Below are 14,990 nucleotides of genomic sequence, written 5' to 3'. Positions count from 1 at the left end.
CCACTGCACTCCAGCCTGGGCGACAGAGCAAGACTCCGTCTCATAAAAAAAAAAAAAAGAAAGAAAGAAAGAAAAGAAATAGAAACTCAGTTCCTATTCCCGATTTCCAGAGCTCAGTGGCTGCATGCATATTACAGAATATTTCCATCACGGTAGAAAGCTCTATTGGAAGAGGCTGGTCTAGACTGAGGCCTACAAAAGAGCAGTTAGCCCTAGGAGGAAGGAAGAGCGTCTCCAGGGCTCCCTGTAAGGTGGCCTTTGCAGACTATCGCAGTTATGACTCTTGCTGGAGCTGTTGAGGCCAGTTCCTGTAGTGTCTTGCCTGCCATCTTGAATTCCCTGCTAAAGACAACGAGAAGGCATTGGAGTGTTGCGCAAGGTAAGTGACATCATCAGATTTGAGTTTTGGAGAATGAGCTGGAGGAGGAGCAAGACAGGAGGCAGGGGACCAATCAGGAGGCAGTTGCTTTCCTCCCAGACCTTAGGCCAGTCAAAATGGTAGAAATGTGCGTGGAGACATGCATGATGTACGATCTGCAGACTGCAGATTCTAGTTGGGCCTGGAAGGAGCAGGACTAACGGCAATGGCTTGAACTATTTGGAGGATGGTACTAACAGTTCCCTTTTAGGCGGAATCTGAGGACGAGAATGAGAAACTGTTTTTTTTTTTAACGTGTTGCTGCTTAAGGGAGTGGGCTTCAGTGATCTGCAGGGCCTCATTCCCTGATAACATCACCGTGACAGTTCACCACGGAAAACTCTAGAAAGACAAAACAGCATACAAAGGCCCTGAACCTGCAGAATTCCTACATGACTACAATGGGCTTTCCTTTGCTCTCTTTCAGCCTTTCCCCCAGTCCTTTACAATGGCACCTGCTTCTGTCTCCTTCTGCCACTGAATTCAAGGTCCCCTGCAAAACAGCCCCACTCTTCGTGGTTGGTTGATATGGACTCCAAATTCCGAACTCCTCAAATGTTCCTTAGACGCCCTCCAGTCTTAACTTCTCCCATGCTCTTCCCTTTGTCTGGAAATGTCTGTTCCTTCTTTTATTCCTCTAGAAATTTTTCTTTTCTTTTTTCTTTTTTTGAGATGAAGTCTCACTCTGTTGCCAGGGCTGGAGTGCAGTGGTGCAATCTTGGCTCACTGCAACCTCCGCCTCCCAGGTTCAAGCAATTCTCATGCCTTTGCCTCCCGAGTAGCTGGGATTATAGGCACCCACCACCACACCCAGCTGATTTTCCTATTTTTAGTAGAGATGTAGAGATGGGGTTTCACCATGTTGCCCAGGCTGGTCTCGAACTCCTGAGCTCAGGCAATACTCCCACCTCGCATTACCTAAGTGCTGGAATTACAAGCGTGAGCCACCACACCTGGCCTAAAATAAAGTTATACCTATGAAATTAAAATATGTGGCTGGGTGTGGTAACTCACACCTGTAATCGCAGTTCTTTGGGAGACCAAGGTGGGAGTATCGCCTGAGTCCAGGAGTTTGAGACCAGCCTGGGCAAAGGGCAAGACCTGTCTCTACAAAAAATAATTAAAAAAACCAATTAGCCAAGTCTGCTGGCGCATGCCTGTAGTTCCAGCTACTCGGGAGGCGGAAGTGGGAGAATCACCTGAACCCAGGAGGTCAAGGCTGCAGTGAGCCAAGATCACGCCAGTGACCCCAGCATGGGCAACAGAGTGGGACCGTGTCTCATAAAATAAAATAAAAGCCGGGCGCACTGGCTCACGCCTGTAATCCCAGCACTTTGGGAGGCTGAGGCGGGCGGATCACTTGAGGTCGGGAGTTTGAGACCAGCCTGACCAACATGGAGAAACCCCATCTCTACTAAAAATACAAAATTAGCCGGGCGTGGTGGCACATGCCTGTAATCCCAGCTACTAGGGAGGCTGAGGCAGGAGAATCGCTTGAACCTGGGAGGCGGAGGTTGCGGTGAGCCGAGATCGTGCCATTGCACTCCAGCCTGGGCAACAAGAGTGAAACTCCGTCTCAAAAAATAAAATAAAATAAAATAAAATAAAAATATGTGTATACATTACTCTGTATCACCTAATATCATTTCACATATCATCTGTGGTGTGTCTAATTCATTGTGGAAAATATTACTTTAAACCACGTATTCTATTTGTTTTACTTTATTGTTATGTATCCTAGGCCTTCCTTATCTGTGGTTTTGCTTTCCGGGGCTTTCAGTTACCTGTGGTCAGCTATGGCACAAAAATATTCAGTGGAAAATTCCAGAAACAAACACAAGTTTTAAATGGCATAGCATTCTGAGTAGCATGATGAAGTCTCTCGCCATCCCTGCTCGGGATGTGAATCCTCTCTTTCCCAGCGTATCTACACTGTAGACGCTACCGACCTGGTAGTCACTTAGTAGCTGTTCCCAGATCCAAAACCCACAGGGCACATAGATCTCGGTGCCGTCTGCAGTTTCAGTCATCCACTGGGGTCTTGGAACATCTTTCCCACAGATAAGGGGGGACTACTGTGCTTGTCTTATTTCCCCGACTCAACACTCAGCTCCAGGTGACAGATAAACTCTTCCTCATTTTGGGTGTCCTGAAGCATCTAGAAAACACTTTAGAGGTCGCTTCAATAAATATATATATTTTTTGAGACAGGATCTCATTCTGTTGCCCAGGTTGGTGTGTGGTGGCACAGTCTTGGCTCCCTGCAACCTCCACCTCCCGGGTTCAAGTGATTCTCCTGCCTCAGCCTCCAGAGTAGCTGGGATTGCAGGTGCCTGCAACCACGCCTGGCTAAATTCTGTATTTTTTATAGAGACAGGGTTTCACCATGTTGGCCAGGCTGGTCTCAAACTCCTGATCTCAAATGATCTGCCCACCTCAGCCTCCCAAAGTGCTGGGATGGCAGCCATGTATCACCACACCCAGCTCATTTTTCTTTTTTTTCTTTCTTTTTTTTTTTTTTGGTAGAGTTGGGGTTTCGCCATGTTGTCCAGGCTGGTCTCTAACTCCTGGGCTCAAGAGATCCACCTGCCTCAGCCTCCCAAGATGCTGGGATTACAGGCATGAGCCACCGCACCCAGCCCTTTCCTTTCTTTTTAAGTCAGAATAGTGTTCCATTGTGTGTATAGACCACATTCTGTTTATCTGTTTATCAGCTGATGGACTCCTGGGCTGCTTCTGCCTTTTGGCTATTGTGACCATACTGCTATGAACATGAGTGTACAAATACCTGTTCAAGTCCCTGCTTTCAATTCTTTCAGGCATATATCCAGAAGTAGAATTGCTGGATCTCAATATTTTTAGTAACTGCCGCATTGTTTTCCATATTTTGCATTCCCACCAACAATGCACAAGGGTTTCAGTTTCTCCACAATTTTGCCAATGCTTATTTTCTGTGTTTTTTTGTTTGTTTGTTTGTTTTGTTTTTTAGAGAGAATCTCGCTCTGTCGCCCAGGCTGGAGTGCAGTGGTGTGATCTCGGCTCACTGCAACCTCTGCCTCCCAGGTTCATGCCATTCTCCTGCCTCAGCCTCCCGAGTAGCTGGGACTACAGTTGCCCACCACTATGCCTGGATCATTTTTTTGTGTTTTTAGTAGAGACAGGGTTTCACCGTGTTAGCTGGGATGGTCTCGATCTCCTGACCTCGTGATCCGCCTGCCTCGGCCTCCCAAAGTGCTGGGATTACAAGCATGGGCCACCGCACCCAGCCTTTTTTCTTTTTTTTTAACCAATAACCATCCTAATGTGTGTGAAGTGGTATCTTGTGGTTTTGATTTAGATTTCCCTAGTGAAATAGTAATATTGAGTATCTTAGTGGCAAATGTGTTTATTGGCCATTTGTATATCTTTGGAGATAGGCCTATTCAAGTCGTTTGCCTTTTTCTTCTTTTCTTTTTTTTCTTTCTCTTTTTTTTTTTTTTTTTTTTGTGATGGAGTCTCACTCTGTTGCCCATGCTGGAGTCCAGTGGCACATTCTTAGCTCACTGCAGCCTCCGCCTCTGGGGTTCAAGCAATTTTCCTGCCTCAGCCTCCTGAGTAGCTGGGACTACAGGTGTGTGCCACCACATCCAGCTAATTTCTTTATTTTTATTTTTGTTTTATTTTATTTATTTATTTTTTTGAGACAGAGTCTCACTCTGTCACCCAGGCTAGAGTGCAGTGACTCAATTTCGGCTCACTGCCAGCTCTACCTCCCGGGTTCATACCATTCTCCTGCCTCAGCCTCCCGAGTAGCTGGGACTATAGGCACCTGCCACCATGCCTGGCTCATTTTTTATATTTTTAGTAAAGACGGAGTTTCACCATGTTAGCCAGGATGGTCTCAATCTCCTGACCTTGTGATCCACTGGTCTCAGCCTCCCAAAGTGCTGGGATTACAGGCGTGAGCCACTGTGCCCGGTCTATTTTTTAATTAGGTTGTTTTTTGTTGATATTGTACTTGATTTGTAAGAGCTCTTTGTATATTTCGGATATTAATCCCTTATCACATATATGTGGTTTGCAAATACTTTCTCCCATCCCATGGATTGCCTTGTATATTAGTCCACTTTCACACTGCTGATAAAGACATATCCAAGACTGAGCAATTTACAAAAGAAAGAGGTTTAATGGGCTCACAGTTCCACGTGGCTGGGGAGGCCTCACAATCATGGTGGAAGCTGAAAGGCACATCTCACATGGCAGCAGACAAGAAAAAGGAGCTTGTGCAGGGAAACTCCCCTTTACAAAACCATCAGATCTTGTGAGACTTATTCACTATCACAAGAATAGCACAGAAAAGTCCTGCCCCCTGGTTCAATTACCTCCCACTGGGTCCCTCCCACATCATGTGGGAGTTATGGGGGCTACAATTCAAGATGAGATTTGGGTGGGGACACAGCCAAACCATATCACCTTGTCTATTTTTTTGTTTGTTTGTTTTGTTTTTATTTTTAATGTGGAGTCTCAGTCACCCAGGCTGGAGTGCTGTGGTGCAATCTCAGCTTACTGCAACTTCTACCTCCCAAGTTCAAGGGATTCTCCTGCCTCAGCCTCCCAAGAAGCTGAGACTACAGATGTGTGCCACCAGACCCAGCTAATTTTTGTATTTTTAGTAGAGATGAGGTTTCACCATGTTAGCCAGGCTAGCCTCAAACTCCTGACCTCAAGTGATCTGCCTCCCTCGGCCTCCCAAAGTGCTGGGATGACAGGCGTGAGCCACTGCACCTGACCTCACCTTGTCTGTTGATAGTGAGTGTCCTTTGAGGCACAAAGGTTTTACTTTTGGTGGAGTCCAATTTATCTATTTTTTCTTTTGTTCCTTGTGTTTTTGGCATCATATCCAAAAATCATTGCCTTAGTCAATGTCATTAAGCTTTTCCCCTATGTTTTCTAAGAGTTTTATAGTTTTAGCTTTTACATCTAGATCTTGGATATATTTTGAATTAATTTTTAGATTTATTTATTTATTTTTGAGACGGAGTCTCATTCTGTCACCGAGGCTGGAGTGCTGTGGCTGCAATCTCAGCTCACTGCAACTTCTGCCTCCCCAGTTCAAGCAATTCTCCTGCCTCAGCCTCCCAGGTAGCTGGGATTACAGGTGCTCGCCACCACACCTGGCTAATTTTCATATTTTTAGGAGAGATGGGGTGTCACCGTGTTGGTCAGGCTGGTCTTGAACTCCTGACCTTGTGATCCACCCACCTCACCTCTCAAAGTGCTGGGATTACAGGCATGAGCCACCGCGCCCAGCCTATTTATTTTTTTAGATGGAGTCTTGCTCTTGTCCTCCAGACTGGAGTGCAATGGTGCGATCTCGGCTCACTGCAACCTCCGCCTCCAAGCTTCTAGCAATTCTCCTGCCTCACTCTCGCGAGTAGCTGGGACTACAGGTGCTTGCCACCACACTGGCTAATTTTTATATTTTTAATAGAGATGGAGTTTTACCATGTTGGCCAGACTGGTCTTGAACTCCTGATTCCAGGTGATCTGCCCTCCTCGGCCTCCCATAGTGCTGGGATTACAGGTGTGAGCCACTGCCTGGCCAGTTTTGTTTTTTTTTTTTTTTTTTTTCTGAGACAGATTCTCACTCTGTGGCCCAGGCTGGAGTGCAGTGGTGCAATCTTGGCTCACTGCAACCTCCACCTCCTGGGTTCAAGCGATTCTTGTGACTCGGCCTCTGGAATAGCTGGGACTACAGGCATGCACCACCATGACTGGCTAATTTTTTTTTTTTTTGAGACAAAGTCTCACTCTTGTCCCCTAGGCTGGAGTGCAATGGCGCTATCTCGGCCCACTGCAACCTCCGCCTCCCAGGTTCAAGCGATTCTCCTGCCTCAGCCCCCCAAGTAGCTGGGATTACAGGCACCTGCCACCACACCCGGCTAGTTTTGGTATTTTTAGTAGAGACAGGGTTTTCACCATGTTGGCCAGGCTGGTCTCGAACTCCTGACCTCAGGTGATCCACCCACCTCCGCCTCCCAAAGTGCTGGGATTATAGGAGTGAGCCACCACTCCCGGCCACGACCGGCTAATTTTTGTAGTTTTAGTAGAGTTGGGGTTTCACCATGTTGGGCAGGCTGGTCTCGAACTCCTGATCGCAAGTGATCTGCCTCCCAAAGTACTGGGATTACAGGCATGAGCCTAGATAGATCTAAATTTGGTGCACAAAGGAATAGGGCACCACAGCATGATCTTGAGCAGGAAGTCCAAGAAGAGAGAGACAGCATCTTCTTGAAGCCCTGGGGTAGAATAAGATCAGATTGTACGTGAAAAACCAGTAGGCTTTTGGGGTGGGTGCGGTGGCTCACGCCTGTAATCCCAGCACTTTGAGAGGCTGAGGCAGGCAGATCGCTTGAACCCAGGAGTTCAGGACCAGCCTGACCAGTATGGTGAGACCTTGTCTCTACAAAATATACAAAAATTAGCCAGGCATGGTGGCACGTGCCTGTGGTCCCAGCAACTTGTGAGGCTGAGGTGGGAGGATCACTTGAGCCTGGGAAGCACAGGCTGAAAGGAGCTACATTTGTGCCACTGCACTCCAGCCTTAGCGACAGAGCCAGACTCTGTCTCAAAACATACAAACCAAAAAAACCAGTAGACTTTCAGAGGAATAGATGCCATTTTTTTCTTCCTTAATCCTCTGCCTTACAGCTAATTCTACAGCCACAAAAAGAAAAAAAAAAAAGAGAGAGAAGAAGGTGATTTGACAAGACAAAGGATTTAGAAAAGAAAGGCAGGTGTTAGTCATGTGGAAAAAAAAGGAAGTATTTGTGTTTACAAGAATCCCGACAGTATCTGAGAATGTAGAATGAAGAATATTTTCCATTTGTTAAAAAATCCAGGCTAAGCATGTGAAGTACTCAGGGTTACCCCTCTGACCTCATCTTGGGGTGTTTCAACCTACCATGGTTACCCCTGTTAGTTAACACCTTATCACAGAATCACAAAGGCCCACAGAGTGAAAGTGGTTACAATGAGCTCTCATGAAAAGTAGGAGTTAGGCTTGGCATGGTGGCTTACACCTGTAATGTCAGCACATTTGAGAGGTCAAGGTGGGTGGATCACTTGAGCCCCGGAGTTTGAGACCTGGACAACATGGCAAAACCCCGTCTCTACAAAAAATACAAAAATTAGCTGGGCATGGTAGCATGCACCTGTAGTCCCAGCCACTCAGGAAGCTAAGGTAAGAGGATGGCTTGAGCCTGGGAGGTTGAGGCTACAGTGAGCCAAGACAGAGCCACTGCACTCCAGCCTGGACAACAGAGCCAGACTCTGTCTCAAAAAAAAAAGAAAGAGAGAGAGGGAGGGAGGCAGAGAGGGAGAGAGAGAGAGACAGAGAGAAAGAGAGAGAGAGAAAGAAAGAAAAGAAAGAAAGAAAGAAAGAAAGACGGAAGGAAAGAAAGAAGGAGAAAAGTAGGAGTTAGTCATCCAGGCCAAGAGTATGAAGTTTGTCTTCAAAGAACTCCTGAATTTGTGGGGGAACTAGATATAGACGTTTGACGAACACGTTTTTATTTATTAGAGGTTATGAGACTAGCGAGTAGGGTGGAAGGAGGAAAGTGGCAGGAAAATCATACTGGAAAGGTAGGTTGGGAACCAACTGTGAAGGACCTTGTACGTCAATCCAAGGAATGTGACCTTCAACCTAGAGCAAGAGGTGACAAACTCAAAATCCCACAGAGACTAGGCTTGCCAATGAGGAAAGCCAACCAGGTGTAAGGCAATAGGGAGTGGTGGGGACTGTGGCAAACAGTAAAGCTCATTCTCTGTCTACAGGGGCTCATTCTCTGTCTCTACTCCATCTACTCTAAGCTCCAGCTGATTGTTTCCATGTGGGAGTGTCGGTCCAGTGTGGCCAGATCTTCCAGTGTTCTAAGAGACAACAGAAATCCAGGTTTTTATAGGACTGCACCAGGTTTTAAAAACATATCGGCCAAGCCAGGCTGGTTTTTAAACCAGATATGGTCCACAGGCCATCATTCTAGCCCCTTGGCAGATTGAAGGGAGCTAGTGAAGATTTTTAAGTGAAAAAAGGTATATGATAATATCTGTGCTTCAGAAAAATCAGATTATTGTGTAGAAGATGACTTACAGGAAATAGATGAGAGGAAGGGAAACCAGTTAGGAAACTGTTTCAACAGTTCAGGTGGGAAGTGACTGCGGTCTGTGCTAGGGCGAGGCAGGGGAGAATGTGGGTGGACAGATTTGGAGTCCAGCATCCAGTGGGAAGAATTTAGCTTCAGTGTGCATCTAGAAGACAGACACATTCTTTCAATGCACCCCCTCTTTTCCGCCCCATTTTTTTTTTTTGAGACAGAGTTTCTTTCTGTCACCCAGGCTGGAGTTCATTGGCACGATCTCGGCTCACTGCAACCTCCACCTCCCGGGTTCAAGTGATTCTCCTGCCTCAGCCTCCTGAGTAACTGGGATTACAGACACATGCCACAACACCTGACTGATTTTTGTATATTTTTAGTAGAGATGGGGTTTCACCATGTTGGCAAGGCTGGTCTTGTACTCCTGACCTCAAGTCATCCACCTGCCTCGGCCTCCCAAAGTGCTGGGATTATAGATGTGAGCCACCGCGACTGGCCTCCACCCCATTTTCTTCTTTCTTTCTTTTTTCTTTTTCTTTTTCTTGTTGTTTTGTTTGTTTGTTTGTTTGTTTGTTTTAGACGGAGTCTGGTTCTGTCACCCAGACTGGAGTGCAGTGGCGCAATCTTGGCTCCCTGCAAGCTCTGCCTCCCGGGTTCACGCCATTCTCCTGCCTCAGCCTCCCGAGTAGCTGGGACTACAGGCGCCCGCCACCACGCCTGGCTCATTTTTTTGTATTTTTAGTAGAGACGGGGTTTTACCGTGTTAGCCAGGATGGTCTCCATCTCCTGACCTGGTGATCCGCCCGCCTGGGCCTACCAAAGTGCTTGGATTACAAGCGTGAGCCACCGCGCCCGGCCTCCACCCCATTTTCTAAACTGGAAGCTGAAAGGCACAGGGCAGATTAATAATCCTTAAAGCCAAAGGACAGGAAATTTTAGCAAAGACTCCAATTTTTTGTGCAGTCTAATGTTACTCATGATTGCTTTAGAGATGGACTCCTTAATCAACTCCTCCAATCCTCTTCCGCCCCCAGGGGGCAGTTTTAATTGATGGGCTCAGCACATAATTGAAATTAAAAACGTACATCTCATGGTGTTTGGCTCATTCAACAGCCAATGGAAACTCAGGGCCAAATCTTTGTAAAAGTTCTAGGCTCTGCTTCCCAGCAGAGGGGGAAACCGGCTCCCAAAGAGGCCGTTTTGTGGAGACAGACATATGAGAAGTGGGCTTCAGATCTATTTCATGGTCTTGGTGGTTGTGCAACTGGCCACTTTGGTTCACGGAAGGATGTAAAGGGCAGGGAGGTGGGAATAGAGCGGGGGAAAGGTGACTCCCGTCAAAGAATTTTTCTAACATCCATCAAGTATCGTGATTAGAACTTTTCTCTCCGCAGACTCCTCCAATTTTTGAGCGCGGTATTTTTCGGCACAGGAAATGGCCCGGAGGAGCTGCAGAGCAAAGCCTCCCCTCTCTGGCACCGCATGGGAGTGCCCCGTGGGATGAGGGAGAGGACAAGGCAGTCAGGCAAAGGTTACGGGAGGAAAGCAAAGGCAGGAGCCCAGAACCACTCCAGGAAATGTTTGGATTTCTCCACCAGGAGGGAGGACAAACAAGCTTTCTTCTTGCCTTCTGGGCAGCTTTGTGTGCTCTCCAGCACGGAGTCCGAGGAGGAACAGCGAAGCTGAAAATGAAAATTACTCTGGCGCTGGACCCAATCGCTCCTCTACGGCATCAATCTCATCGGACCCCCCCACCCTACCGCCTCTCAGAAATGACCACTTTTGCAAAATTGCATGCATTTCCAAGCTTCATCCGGCTCCAGGCTTGGCCTCTCCCAGAGGCAGGCGGCTTGTGAGACGGGCTCCAGAGAAAGGACCTCCCTGGGTCTCTCATTTCCTGGCTGAAGTTTCTCTTCTCGCTGCTGTGGCAGCATCCAACCCACACACACAGGACCCGCATCCTGGGTGATGAAGTCAGACACGCAGCAGCTGGGTGAGTGCTAACGCTCAGATAAGCATCTGTGCCATTGTGGGGACTCCCTGGGCTGCTCTGCACCCGGACACTTGCTCTGTCCCCGCCATGTACAACGGGTCGTGCTGCCGCATCGAGGGGGACACCATCTCCCAGGTGATGCCGCCGCTGCTCATTGTGGCCTTTGTGCTGGGCGCACTAGGCAATGGGGTCGCCCTGTGTGGTTTCTGCTTCCACATGAAGACCTGGAAGCCCAGCACTGTTTACCTTTTCAATTTGGCCGTGGCTGATTTCCTCCTTATGATCTGCCTGCCTTTTCGGACAGACTATTACCTCAGACGTAGACACTGGGCTTTTGGGGACATTCCCTGCCGAGTGGGGCTCTTCACGTTGGCCATGAACAGGGCCGGGAGCATCGTGTTCCTTACGGTGGTGGCTGCGGACAGGTATTTCAAAGTGGTCCACCCCCACCACGCGGTGAACACTATCTCCACCCGGGTGGCGGCTGGCATCGTCTGCACCCTGTGGGCCCTGGTCATCCTGGGAACAGTGTATCTTTTGCTGGAGAACCATCTCTGCGTGCAAGAGACGGCCGTCTCCTGTGAGAGCTTCATCATGGAGTCGGCCAATGGCTGGCATGACATCATGTTCCAGCTGGAGTTCTTTATGCCCCTCGGCATCATCTTATTTTGCTCCTTCAAGATTGTTTGGAGCCTGAGGCGGAGGCAGCAGCTGGCCAGACAGGCTCGGATGAAGAAGGCGACCCGGTTCATCATGGTGGTGGCAATTGTGTTCATCACATGCTACCTGCCCAGCGTGTCTGCTAGACTCTATTTCCTCTGGACGGTGCCCTCGAGTGCCTGCGATCCCTCTGTCCATGGGGCCCTGCACATAACCCTCAGCTTCACCTACATGAACAGCATGCTGGATCCCCTGGTGTATTATTTTTCAAGCCCCTCCTTTCCCAAATTCTACAACAAGCTCAAAATCTGCAGTCTGAAACCCAAGCAGCCAGGACACTCAAAAACACAAAGGCCGGAAGAGATGCCAATTTCGAACCTCGGTCGCAGGAGTTGCATCAGTGTGGCAAATAGTTTCCAAAGCCAGTCTGATGGGCAATGGGATCCCCACATTGTTGAGTGGCACTGAACAAGCAGACCAACAACACTGAGGAAGATAGAGTGGTGACTTAGAATTAACTCGTGCTAAGGGGTCGGGGGCTTTGAAAATGCCACCCCCCTTTCTTATTGCAAGACGGCTTCTCGCACATGAACTGCATCCTTCTCATTCTGTCGGAAATGAAATTCACACAACTATACCTTTTGGGGAGGTTCCAGTTGATTGAAGTGAGTTGGCTGCATTTTCTTATCTGATCACAATGGCAGGGGACAGAATGTGCATGGAGTGGAGCATGTGTGTGTTGGGAGGGGGGCTAGGAACTGCACAGCCCTTGTGTAATTTTCGTTGTTTGTTTTTGTTTTGAGACAGAGTCTCACTCTGTGTCCCAGGCTGGAGTGCAGTGGCACAGTCTCGGCTCACTGCAACCTCTGCCTCCCGGGTTCAAGCAATTCTCCTGCCTCAGCCTCCCGAGTAGCTGGGATTAGAGGCGCCAGCCAACACACCCGGCTAATTTTTGTATTTTTAGTAGAGACAGGGTTTTGCCATGTTGGCCAGGCTGGTCTCGAGCTCCTGACCTCAGGTGATCCGCCTGCCTTGGCCTCCCAAAGTGGTGGGATCACAGGCGTGAGCCACCGTGCCTGGCCTCCCCTGTGTCATTTTAAATGGCTAAGTAAATGGGTATATGTGTTTGAATGGGGCATGTTCACTCTCTTAGGGGCTATGGGGCAGTTAGCAGCATTTCCTATCCTCTGACCTTAAATCATTCCTTATCTCAGAAAACAGAAACCGGGCTCAGTCAATCAATGCTTTATTTCAGGCCGAATGAGGCTCTTTAGATTGGGATCTATTGATCTATCAATTTTCATCTTTACATTTCTTTGTACATCTGTACATTTTGTCCAAATGTACATCTGTACGTCTGTCATCATTGTGACTTCCTGGTAGCCCAAGAAGAACAACAACAAAACAATCTGCTCTGACCTTCTTCAAATCTTTGTATTTCAAAGAAGGTGCTGAGGGATCTGTTTCCTTGCCCTGGCTTCTCCAGTGGGATGTGCTGAGTCCAATACAATTGCTTTTATAATTGCTTTTGACAACTTGTCATGTGACTGTGAATTGAAATTATTCACTTATTTTCCAAGTATTTACTGAATTCGTATTTGGTGGCAGGCAGTATACTGTGTAATTTTTAGTGGAGGGTCATTAGTCAACTCTTATGTGACAGTAAAGTTTTTTGGGGGGGTGGGGACAGAGAAGTTAAGAGCTTTCATCCTTTCACGGAATACAGTTTCTAGACCGATTCTGTGTGAACATCAGTTTTGTCCTCTTATTGCAAGACTCCCTCATACACATGAGTTTCCCAAATGTGTACCTGGACCCCTCGAAACAGAGGACTCTACGAAATGACAAGCTGCCCCTGCCCTGAATTAGGGGGAAACATTCCAGGCCAACTCTAGCTCCTTTCTCAAGCTACAAAGTGGTGAACATGGTTCTCAACTCCTTAATTTATACTCTCTCAAATGCCCAGGATACTCTACCCACTTAAGAACCTTGCCAACTTCTGGGGGTTGGGCATGGTGGCTCACGCTTGTGATCCCAGCACTTTGGGAGACTGAGGCGGATCACCTGAGGTCAGGAGTTCTAGACCAGCCTGACCAACATGGAGAAACCTCGTCTCTACTAAAAATTCAAAATTAGCCTGGTGTGGTGGCGCATGCCTATAATCCCAGCTATTCGGGAGGCTGAGGCAGGAGAATCACTTGAACCGAGGAGGTGGAGGTTGCGGTGAGGTGACATCGTGCCATTGCACTCCAGACTGGGCCACAGGAGTGAAACGCCGTCTCAAAAAAAAAAAAGAACTTTGCCAACTTCTAGTTCTTTGGCCTCAAAACACCCCTCTAGGCTGTCCCTATTATTCCTTTTTTCAGAGGCACTGTGCAGCCTAGTGATGAAAAGTACGAGCTATAGAGCATTAGAAGCATCGAAGTTTGAATCTCAGCTCAAGCATTTACTAGGCCTGTGATCTTAGGGCAGCTTGTGTTTTTAGACACTGAATCTTGCTCTGTTGCCCAGGCTGGAGTGCAGTGAGTGGCATGATCATAGCTCACTGCAGCCTCAAACTCCTGGGCTCAAGTGTTCCTCCCACCTCAGCCTCCTGAATAGCTGGGAGTACAGGCATAAGCCACCACACTCAGCTAATTTTTAAATTTTTTTTATAGAGACGAGGTCTCACTCACTGTGTTGCCCAAGCTGGTCTCAAACTCCTGGCCTCCAGCAATCCTCCCACCTTGGCCTCCCAAAGTATTGCGATTGCCAGCATGAGCCACTGCTCCCAGCCTGGCATATATATAGATATATATAGAGATATATAGATATCTATCTATCTATATATATATATATTTTTTTTTTTTTTTTTGAGACAGAGTCTTGCTCTATCACCCAGGCTGGAGTACAGTGGCCCAATCTCAGCTCACTGCAAGCTCTGCCTCCTGGGTCCACGCCATTCTCCTGCCTCAGCCTCCAGAGTAGCTGGGACTACGGGCGCCCCACCACCACGCCCGGCTAATTTTTTGTATTTTTAGTACAGACGGGGTTTCATTGTGTTAGCCGGGATGGTCTTGATCTCCTGACTTGTGATCCGCCTGCCTCGGCCTCCCAAAGTGCTTGGATTACAGGTGTAAGCCACCGCACCCCGCCCAGCCTGGCAGATTTTATTTAATCATTTGTAGCTTCATTTTCCTCGTCTGTCAAACAGGGATACTGTAATACAACCTCAGTGTGTCATTGGGCAGTTTAAATGAATGTACATTCCTGAGGCATCAGAACTTTGTTCACTGTTATATACCCAATGCCTAGAAGAGGACCTGCACATAGCAGGTGCTCAGTAAATGTTTGTTGAATGAATGATTAAGTGCATGTAAAGCATTAAGCATAGCGCCTGGCAGTAAGTGCTCAATATTATGACTTCTTATATTAACACGTTTTACATATAAAGAAATGGAGGCAAGAAAGCATTTCCTTTGGGGTTTAGAGCGCTTAAGTTGTTCCTCTGTTATCATGCCTGAATTCCCCCGCCCCTCAGTTACCTGGGGAAGAGTAAAGGCAAGAATTCTTACCAGCATTAGTCATACATCCTCCTGATAGGAATCTGCGAAAACACACACTTCTGCTTTTAGTTCTATTCTTAGAATTCTCTCCTGGGCTGTTGCTCCTTTGTTCCTTCATTGTAATAAAAATGGATTCTGAAAGCAAATCTGTGTCCTGTGTGTGACTCTAGGTCAAAGGACCCCTAGGATTTTGCCCTCCAAGGAAAAAAAGCTAAAATATCTAGAACTGCATGGCAGGC

General features: G+C 47.6%; 1 protein-coding gene across 1 annotated transcript, besides 2 other annotated features; it reads left to right on the top strand.

The window, feature by feature from the left end:
• Positions 6,356-6,855: an enhancer, noted in NCBI's record as "H3K4me1 hESC enhancer chr12:123218665-123219164 (GRCh37/hg19 assembly coordinates)". NCBI's record gives its function as "activates a minimal SCP1, AML or CMV promoter by ChIP-STARR-seq in primed H9 embryonic stem cells {active_cell/tissue: H9 hESC(primed)}" and the evidence as "EXISTENCE:reporter gene assay evidence [ECO:0000049][PMID:30033119]".
• On the top strand, positions 10,129-14,897 carry HCAR1 (hydroxycarboxylic acid receptor 1). Its single transcript, NM_032554.4, has one exon. It carries the CDS (start codon positions 10,634-10,636, stop codon positions 11,672-11,674), a length of 1,041 nt encoding a protein of 346 aa, NP_115943.1. The 5' UTR covers positions 10,129-10,633; the 3' UTR covers positions 11,675-14,897.
• Positions 10,700-11,367: an enhancer, noted in NCBI's record as "H3K4me1 hESC enhancer chr12:123214153-123214820 (GRCh37/hg19 assembly coordinates)". NCBI's record gives its function as "activates a minimal SCP1, AML or CMV promoter by ChIP-STARR-seq in naive H9 embryonic stem cells {active_cell/tissue: H9 hESC(naive)}" and the evidence as "EXISTENCE:reporter gene assay evidence [ECO:0000049][PMID:30033119]".
• Positions 14,898-14,990: the final 93 nt, after the last annotated feature.

Source organism: Homo sapiens, chromosome 12 (genome assembly GCF_000001405.40).
Source record: "Homo sapiens chromosome 12, GRCh38.p14 Primary Assembly".
Classification (NCBI taxonomy): domain Eukaryota; kingdom Metazoa; phylum Chordata; class Mammalia; order Primates; family Hominidae; genus Homo; species Homo sapiens.
This window is presented reverse-complemented; position numbering and strand designations above follow the sequence as displayed.